General features: G+C 57.1%; 2 annotated features.

The window, feature by feature from the left end:
* Window positions 3077–3136: an enhancer, noted in NCBI's record as "active region_18597". NCBI's record gives its function as "activates an Ori minimal core promoter by ATAC-STARR-seq in GM12878 lymphoblastoid cells {active_cell/tissue: GM12878}" and the evidence as "EXISTENCE:reporter gene assay evidence [ECO:0000049][PMID:35858748]".
* Window positions 4179–4908: an enhancer, noted in NCBI's record as "H3K4me1 hESC enhancer chr21:47475451-47476180 (GRCh37/hg19 assembly coordinates)". NCBI's record gives its function as "activates a minimal SCP1, AML or CMV promoter by ChIP-STARR-seq in primed H9 embryonic stem cells {active_cell/tissue: H9 hESC(primed)}" and the evidence as "EXISTENCE:reporter gene assay evidence [ECO:0000049][PMID:30033119]".

Here is a 9710-nt window from a genome sequence, read left to right as displayed (position 1 = left end):
CAGAAGAACTTCTAAAAATGAGTTCTTCAACATGACTTACTAACTTTTTAATAAATACCTTCATCCATGCAACCCTTTAACCTTTAGAAAGTTCTGGATGTGGCTGCTTTGGCGGCCTCTGTGACTGTTTCACCCTGGTGTGTGATATCTCCTTGTGCTTGCTGAAGGCAGATGGGGCTGTGTAGATGACCTGTCCACACAGACACTGAGGGATGGACTCAGGGGAACATCCACATCCACACGACCTGTCCACAGAGAGACTGAGGGACGGGCTCAGGCAAACATCCATGACCACATGACCTGTCCACACAGACACTGAGGGACGGGCTCAGGCAAACATCCACGTCCACATGACCTGTCCACAGAGAGACTGAGGGATGGACTCAGGCAAATGTCCACGTCCACACGACCTGTCCACACAGACACTGAGGGACGGGCTCAGGCAAACATCCACGTCCACATGACCTGTCCACACAGACACTGAGGGACGGACTCAGGCAAATGTCCACGTCCACACGACCTGTCCACAGAGTGACTGAGGGACGGACTCAGGCGAACATCCATGACCACACGACCTGTCCACACAGACACTGAGGGACGGGCTCAGGGGAACATCCACGTCCAGAAGACCTGTCCACAGAGACACTGAGGGACGGGCTCAGGCAAACATCCACGTCCACATGACCTGTCCACACAGACACTGAGGGACGGGCTCAGGGGAACATCCACGTCCACACGACCTGTCCACAGAGAGACTGAGGGACGGGCTCAGGCAAACATCCACGTCCACATGACCTGTCCACACAGACACTGAGGGACGCACTCAGGCAAACATCCATGACCACACGACCTGTCCACAGAGACACTGAGGGACGGACTCAGGCAAATGTCCACATCCACATGACCTGTCCACAGAGACACTGAGGGACGGACTCAGGCAAATGTCCATGTCCACACTACCTGTCCACAGAGACACTGAGGGACGGGCTCAGGCAAACATCCATGACCACACGACCTGTCCACACAGACACTGAGGGACGCACTCAGGCAAACGTCCACGTCCACACGACCTGTCCACACACACACACTGAGGGACGGACTCAGGCGAGCTTCCATGTCCACACCACCTGTCCATACAGACACTGAGCAATGGGCTCAGGTGGGCATCCATGTCTACACAGCCTATCGACAAAGCCACTAAAGAATAGGGCTCGGGGAAGTGTTTATGTCCTGGTGTCCTTACTTGTAACCTTGGGTTATTTAAAACTTGGATATGGGCAAGTGGGAAAGAGATGGGGCCATTCAGCATCACACTGGGGTATGGTATGCCAGCTTCTTGTCGTGTTAGTGCTGTGGACCTGTGAACCTGTGGACCTGTGGACCTGTGGACTGGCAGACCTGTGAGCCTGTGAATGTGTGGTCCTATGGACCTGTGGGTGTCTGAACCTGTGGACCACTTTACCTGTGGACCTATGAACTCATGTATGTGTGAACCTGTGGACCTCTGGATCTGTGTACCTGTGAACCTTTGTACTGTAGATGTGTGAACCCATGGACCCGTGGACTGCGTGTGAACCCGTGTACTGCTGGACCTGTGGACATGTGGACCTGTGAGTGTGTGGACCTGTGGATGTGTGGACCTGTGGACCTGTGAGTGTGTGGAACTGTGGACCTGTGGACTGTGGACGTGTGGACCCGTGGACCTGTGAGTGTGTGGACATGTGGACCATGGACGTGTGGACCTGTGAGTGTGTGGACCTGTGGACGTGTGGACCTGTGAATCTGTGACTGTGTGGGCCTGTGGGGTGTTGGGCCTGTGAACCTGAGAGTTTGTGTACCTGAGAGTGTGTGGACCTGTGGATGTGTGAACCTGTGGACATGTGGACCTGTGGACTTGTGAGTGTGTGGACCTGTGGACGTGTGGACCTGTGGACCTGTGAGTGTGTGGACCTGTGAATCTGTGACCATGTGGGCCTGTGGGGTGTTGGACCTGTGGACGTGTGGACCTGTGAACCTGTGACTGTGTGGGCCTGTGGGGTGTTGGGCCTGTGAATCTGTGAGTGTGTGGACCTGTGGGTGTGTGGACGTGTGGACCTGTGAACCTGTGACTGTGTGGGCCTGTGGGGTGTTGGGCCTGTGAACCTGTGTGCTCATGTTTGGCATCATGGTTCATTCAGGGCTCCAGTTCTGTGAAGTTTCGTGTCTCTCTCTAGGAAAGGTGCACGGAAGCACCGCGCTGCTGGGCTCAGCTTCTCTGCTGTGTAGGGCGCAGGGTTTTGCCCCACAGCCTCCCCCCCCAGTGTCTCTCCTGAGGCCTCACTGTCCCTGCTCCTCCGACCCCTCCCGCACCAGCCCTGCCGTCTCCCTGCTGAAGAGAGGCTCAGCTGTGTCTTTACCCTGCATTTGGAGAGAGGCATGTTTTTAACTTTTCAGACATTTTACTTTGACACTGAGGATGCACAAGACGTGCAGCCTCTGTGGGGAGCCGATCGGGAACACGGCGAGGCCACATCACCCGCGCGGGGGACAGGAGCCGCGGGACCCACCTGCAGGGAGCTGAGCCCCAGCACCTTCGTTTGGACGTCTCCCCAGCACGGTGCTACCTGCCCAGGCTGTGAGCAGGGATCAGACCCCACTCCCTGGGTTTAACATGAAAGCCCAGCTGTACGTTGGACGGCTTGGATCTTTCTAGGCAGGAGCACCCGATCTTTCCAGTCACAGAAGTCAGTTTCTTCAAGGGAGACGTGGAATAAAGCTGGAAGCCTTACCATCGATCCCACCACCCTCCCCGACCCCGCCCACTGGGCACCTGCGTGGTGGGGACTCACAGCCCCAGCCCCCTAGAGATTGTCGTGTGGGCGACGGAACTGAGGTGAAGGCAGAGTGCTTTCCTCTTTAATGTCACGTAAAGGGAGAAACTGTTATTTTGAAAAGTGGCTGCCGTTTCACTGACAGCCTGAAGAAGGGTGGGAGGTTTCCTGCGGGGGAAAGACCCCTGTCTGTGGTTGGGAATCCCCTCCCGGAGTTGTGGGTTGTGGAAGCTGAGGGTCTGTGCCTTCAGCCAGCTGGGAGAGTGACAGGAAGCCGCGGGCGCTGCCGCCGAAGCCACAGAAGTGCTGAGCGGTCGCTGGGGGGCTGTGGTCCTGGGAGAGACGCTGGGGGAGCCAGGCAGTTTCAGCTGCTGGGTGCGTGCACCGTGGTGGGCCCGAGGGCCAGGTGTGGGTTTAGGGTGTGTTGCCTTTGCCCACCAGCTGCAGACATCTAGGGCCACTACGGCCACCCCAGCCCCGACACAAGTGCACCCCCGGGTTGGGGAAGGGGCAGCACGGGGGCTGCCTACACCCCATCTGCCACCCGTCACGGGCAGGGAGGGTCCTGTGTGGTGAGACATGCAGGCCTTCAGGCCCAGACTTTAAACAAACAGAACCAGTGGACGACCACAGTGCCCATCAGGGTGGGCACCGCCCACCCCCCCACGCCCACGTCCCACACTTGGTGGAGGTTTGTGAAGGAGCCGGGCGGGAGCGCAGCAGCACAGAGACCCCCGGGCCGGGCGGGGAGCTTCCATCCAGCCTGCAGGCCCTGACCTCTGCTGCCCTTGAGAGAAACCCTGAGGCCGCCCGAGCGCTTGAGCTTTCCCATCTGTGCCAGCAAATCTGGAAGGCCACGTTCTCTCCATAAATGGAAACATTTTGAGGGGGCCACAGACCACTGCCAAGCGGCACGGCGATGACTAAGCCCCGCACGGAGGAGAGGGCGTTGCCTGGCCCGAGTTCCGGGACCGTGTGGGGCTGTCGGGGCGGGCGCCCAAGGCCTCTCTGAAGGTGGCAGCAGCAGCGGCGATTTACTCACCCCAGTTTCTCGGAGAGGCTTCTGGTAAAAGGCTGGATTTGGAGATTCTCTGTTGGTAAAAGGAAATCTCACGTGTGCCCTCCTCAAAGTTAGGACTGAGGGGCGCTGGCGAAGAGCGAAGGGAAGCTGCCTCCCTGGGGACTCGGATGCGCGCTTGCAGTCATCACAAGCAATTGAGTATCCACAGATTTGGTCAATTTAATAAAAAATAGGCCAGGGAGATAATGAGTGTTTTCTAAAATAGTTTTAAATCTATCGCTATGTGAACTCAGGTTTTTAGTTTGAAACCATCATTTTCTTTCTTTTTTGTTTGCTTTCCATTATGTCCCACTTTGCTCAGGGTTCTGTGGCCCCAGCTCAGGGCTGACATCATGACTGATGGTTGTGCACAAAAGAAACGGCAGACCAACGCGTCCTGTGCCAAAGCTGGAGGGGAAAGGCCAAGCCTTGCGGGAGGGACGCTCCTCGCTGCTGGTGGATGCCAGAAGTCTCTGGGCATCTCCAGACCTGTCAGGCGGTGGGAGGGGAGGCAGCGCATGTGGGTGGCTCTGCCCAGGGTCACCGAGGAGTCCCGGACATGAACCTTCCAGAGAATCAGCAGGCAGGGTCAGGGCCGGGCGCGCGCTCCCCTTGCAGAGAGGAGGCCCCCGGAGGCCGCTTGCGCTGAGCTGCGCGGCGAGCGGGTGCGGGATCCAGGCCCAGTCCTGTCTCACCCGCCTGTGGGCACACAGCTGCACCTGGCTTCCCAGCCTCTTCTCTCTTGAGCGGGACCCAGTGATGGGCACCACCTCCAGGCCTGACCCTCGGCCCAGCTCCCACCACGCCCAGCTGCTAATTTTTGTACTTTTTGTAGAGACGGTCTACACGGGAGTTTCACCATGTTGCCCAGGCCAGTCTTAAACTCTTGGGCTCAGGCAATCCACCCACCTCGACCTCCCAAAGTGCTGGGATTACAGGTGTGAGCCACCACGCCTGGCCTATTTTCTTAGATTTATCCCTAAGTAATACGTATTCCTGTCCCCACCCTAGGGGGCAGGGGGTTCAAGGAACAGCCCCAAGGTGCTAGGTGGGCAGAGCCCTCAGGGCCAAGGAGCCCGAATCCCTGGAGGACCACATGGAACAGAGAGCCCCTCCGGGTCCGGCAGGAGCCTGTGTGCGCTGAGACGTCTGCTACTTGTCCCGTCCCAGGGCCTCGCCTCCCAGCTCACCAGGTGCTCCTCCAGCGTCCCCGTGCGCTGCCTCCTGGCCTTCAGTGTGGCCGGCTTAGCACTGCCTGCTGGGGCTCTGGACACCAGGGAGGCTCTGAGGAGATGTCAGCCGGAGGTCTCCATGGCAGGACCGAGGTGTGATGGCTCATAAGCCCCCAAGGGAGGGTCCAGACCACTAAGCGGTTCTCAGCCCCTTCAGAAGTCACCCAGACTCACAAGGAAAGGCTGAGGGCTTGGGCTAGGCCACTCCACCCTGAACCTGCAGGATCCCTGTGCGGGGCAGAGGGAGGCAGGCGGTCTGCGTGGGGCAGAGGGAGGGAGGGGGCCTGTGTGAGGTGGAGGGAGGGAGGGGCTGTGCAGGGCAGAGGGAGGGAGGGGGCTGTGCAGGGCAGAGGGAGGCAGGGTCTATGCGGGGCAGAGGGAGGGAGGGGGGCTGTGCGGGGCAGAGGGAGGGAGGGGGGCTGTGCGGGGCAGAGGGAGGGAGGGGGGCTGTGCGGGGCAGAGGGAGGGAGGGTCTATGCGGGGCAGAGGGAGGGAGGGTGCTGTGCGGGGCAGAGGGAGGCAGAGGCTGTGCGGGGCAAGCCAGATTCCATTCAGAGGAGAGTGGCGAAAGGAATGTGTGTTTGGGCCAGATGCGGCCATGTGGGCCAGGAGCTGGGGATCCCTCTGAAGTCCTGCCAGAGGGGGCTGCAGGGAGGGCTCCAGCACAGACTGGGCCTGGGCACAGACTGACCGCAGGGCTTGGAGGTCATGGGTCAGAGGGGTCAGAGGCCCAGTGGGCGGTGCTGATCCCTGGCCTGCTCCGTCAGGACCGTCTCTCTCTGCTCCGCTGTGTCAGGGTGGGGCTGACTGGCACACTGCATACCCGAGAGCCCATCGCATATTCTGGCAGTGAAAGTGAATAACTGGAAAATGAGAAATTTAAAAGGACTTATTGTAGCATCAAAGAAAGGCCTTACAATAGCATCAAAGAAAATGTATTACTTAGGGATAAATCTAAGAAAATAGGCCAGGCGCGGTGGCTCATGCCTATAATCTCAGCACGGTGGGAGGCTGAGGTGGGTGGATTGCTTGAGCCCAGGAGTTTAAGACCAGTCTGGATGAGGTGGAGAAACCCCAGTCTCTACAAAAAATACAAAATTAGCCGGGCGTGGTGGTGGGCGCCTGTAGTCCCAGCTACTGGGGAGGCTGAGGGGGGAGAATGGCTTGAGTCCAGGAGGTTGAGGCTGCAGTGAGTCAAGATCGCATCCCTGTACTCCAGCCTGGGCGACAGAGAGAAGCCCTGTCTCAAAAAAAGAAGAAAGAAAAAAAGAAAATACGACAAGATCAGTACATTGCGTACTAAAAATCATTGCTGAGAATTAAAGACCTAAAAAGTAGAGAAATATATTGTATTCACGAATTAGGAAACCCTACTTTTTAAGCTTAGAGTTTTTCCTCAAAACTCATTAAATCTTTGATATTTGGATTTAATGTGATGCCAATCAGTGTCTTTTTCATGGACATCAAAAAGCTGATTCTAATATGTATATGGTAATTCAAAAGGCTTTGAATAAAGTAATCTTAGAACAAAGTTGTATGTTTTAAACTACTTAATTTTAAGACTTACTATAAAGCTATAGTAAATAAGACCGTGGTATTGGTATAATACCAAATATATGCGTGCGTGTGTGTGTGTGTGTGTGTGTAGCCCAAGTAGTTAATTTAACGTGAATTAAAACCACGGTGACACACCAATACATACCCACTGGAACATCTCAAATTAAAAAGATACCAGACGTTGGGGGGTTGCAGGGCTGCCAGACGATGACACAGTGCTGGTGGGAGTTTAAGTGTCACAACCACTTGGCAGTTTCATAAAAGGCTGAGTTTGTCCTCACCTGGTGACTCAGGCATTCCACTCCCAAGGAGTTCCCTAAGACACACCAAACTCATTCCACACAACGACGTGTACAGGGATGTTCACAGCAGCTTTATTGGTGACAGCTAAAATGTGCCGACAGCCCCGTCCACCACCGAGGGAACCACCGCAGCAGGAGGGGTCTGTTGCCAGGACGGGCCCTGCCCAGCTGTGAGCGGCCAACAACTGCTCCGCAAAGCAGCAAGGAGGAATCGCGGAGGGACAGGGGCTGGGCACGGAGGCATCCAAGCACACAATTCCATTTCTGTGCAACTCCAGGAGCAGCCAGGGTGACGGCAGGGACTGAGAGGCAGGGCTGTGGGTGACGGGCAGTGACTGAGAGGCAGGGCTGTGGGTGACGGCAGGGACTGAGAGGCAGGGCTGTGGGTGACGGGCAGTGACTGAGAGGCAGGGCTGTGGGTGACGGGCAGTGACTGAGAGGCAGGGCTGTGGGTGACGGGCAGTGACTGAGAGGCAGGGCTGTGGGTGACGGCAGGGACTGAGAGGCAGGGCTGTGGGTGACGGGCAGTGACTGAGATGCAGGGCTGTGGGTGATGGGCAGTGACTGAGACGCAGGCTGTGGGTCGGGGCAGGGCTGTGGGTGACGGCAGTGACTCAGAGGCGGGCTGTGGGTGACGGGCACATTCCACAGCTCCACTGTGGCTGTGGTTCCACGGTGGGTGCACCTGCAAGAAGGCATCGAAGTCTAACCCTTACGATCTGCACTTTCTCTTATGTAAGTTACACCTTGACGCAACTGACTATGGAAATTAAAAAGCACCTGTGTTTGAACGCGAGAGGGTGGCCTTCTCCTCGTGGCTGCAGCGGCTGTGGAGAAACCAGGTGTGGCCAGTGTCTTAGTGCGGCTGCTGCAGCCACAAGGAGAACACAGACCTGGCGGCTTCAGCAGGAGACATTTATCCTCTCGCATCCGGAGGCTGGAAGGCCAAGGCCAAGGTGCTGCAGGGCTGGGCTTGGTGAGGCCTCTTCCCAGCTGGCAGGCGCCTGAGTACACCGGCGTCACTGGGGCCACAGCCGTAGCCGACCCGGGCTCCATCCTCCTGACATCATTTAACCATCATCACTTCCCAGAGGCCCAGTGTCCAGACACAGCTGCACTGGGGGCAAGGCCTTCAACCTGTGAACTGGGGAGAACACAAACGTTCAGTCCCCCGCATTGGGGTGTGAGTCTGAGGACGTCACAGGCACCACGGCCTTGCATCGTTTTCCAGGCACACAGACCATGTCTTTCCACAGGGCTGTGAGGATAAAGAGCGGGAGAAACCATAGAGACGGGAGGGAAGGGTTGGTGCCGGATGAGGGAAGGCGTGATGCCAGGCCAAGAAAACCCTAGGCGGTTCAGATCTTTGGAGAGGAAGGGCTGGCATTTTTATCTGGAAAAAGATGCTGAGAAAGCATTGGAAGCTTCTCACGCTGGGGCGCCAGGGGCTCTGTTCTCTGAGGCTCCTTCTTGTAGGACTCTGGACGCGGATGCCCCGTGCCGAGGGGCTGCCGAGCCTGGACGGTGACCGAGGGACCTGCTCCCCACACTGTGGTCTCACGATCCCACCCCACACCCACAGATCTTGGGAGACCGTGAAGAGCTTTGTTTGCACAAGTTATGTCTATCAACATTGATTATATCAGAAATTAAAACAGAAATCCAAAAATACTGATGTATCGATCCGTTTCACATTAACAAGGATAAACCCACTACATTTTCACATATTATGTTTTTAATTAAAACAATTAAATTATCGTTTCCCGAACGGAAGATCTGTGAGGAATATGCACTGTTTTTCCCTTTTCCAGTCTGTTCGGTGTCTGGCTTCACGGGAGACAGCTGGTTCTCGGAGCTGCTTCTGTGTTCAAGCCACTGCAATGGGGTTTTGGGCAAATCTGTGGAAAGTCTGGCCTCACCGCGCACTTGGAGGGAGGAGTGCCTCGGCAGTCCTCTCAGATAACTGTGGATAAGCTTCGATTCGATCCCCAAACACAACAAGTGGTCCTGTCTTAAAGGTCTGTTGGGACGTGAGATCTGAAACTGCATCGTGGGTTTTGTACTTGGAACATTCGTGAGAGCGAGAATGAGAAAGACGGATAATGTGTCAGTTTCATCATCAAAATAAGTTTGGCCTCACAGACCCCCCAGAGCATCTCAGGAACCTCTGCGGTCCCCAGACTGCATTTTGAGAACTGCCGTCCCAAGTTCTTGTGTCCCCTCCTCCCAGGCCAGCCAGCCCCGGGCGTGGGGGGTGCTCCAGGAGCCCACCGCGGTGTTTCAGTCTGGCCTGGAGTGGGGGCTACCGGTGAGGGATCTGCAGTATGGGGTCCTCCCCACGGGGTCCGCATGGCTCAGAGCAGCGCAGGGCTGGGCCAGCCTCTCGAGAACCCAGAGCCGGTCCAGGGCAGAGCCAGGAGCCGACTTGGGGCCTCGTCTGTGGGGGCCTCTCCCATCACAGCTGCCCAGGCCACCGTGCAGCCGCTGGGGACTGTCCAGCCTGGTGCTGGCAGGGTGGGGGCACAGGGCCAGACGCTTTGCTATGGGCTGACCACCAGTGACCACCGCAGCAAGTGGTCTGAAGTGGGCTGTGTGTGGAAATGGCTGTGCGCCCTGCAGAGGTCCCAGGTTCTCCACTCGCCCTCTAGTCCACACCAGACCCCTTGGGAGCTGCAGCAGCCACCCCACCTCGCAGCCTGCATGGCTCCCTGCCCAGCTCTGGATGGGGGACTGCAGGCCCTGGCCCCCT

This window comes from Homo sapiens, chromosome 21 (genome assembly GCF_000001405.40).
Source record: "Homo sapiens chromosome 21, GRCh38.p14 Primary Assembly".
Classification (NCBI taxonomy): domain Eukaryota; kingdom Metazoa; phylum Chordata; class Mammalia; order Primates; family Hominidae; genus Homo; species Homo sapiens.
This window is presented reverse-complemented; position numbering and strand designations above follow the sequence as displayed.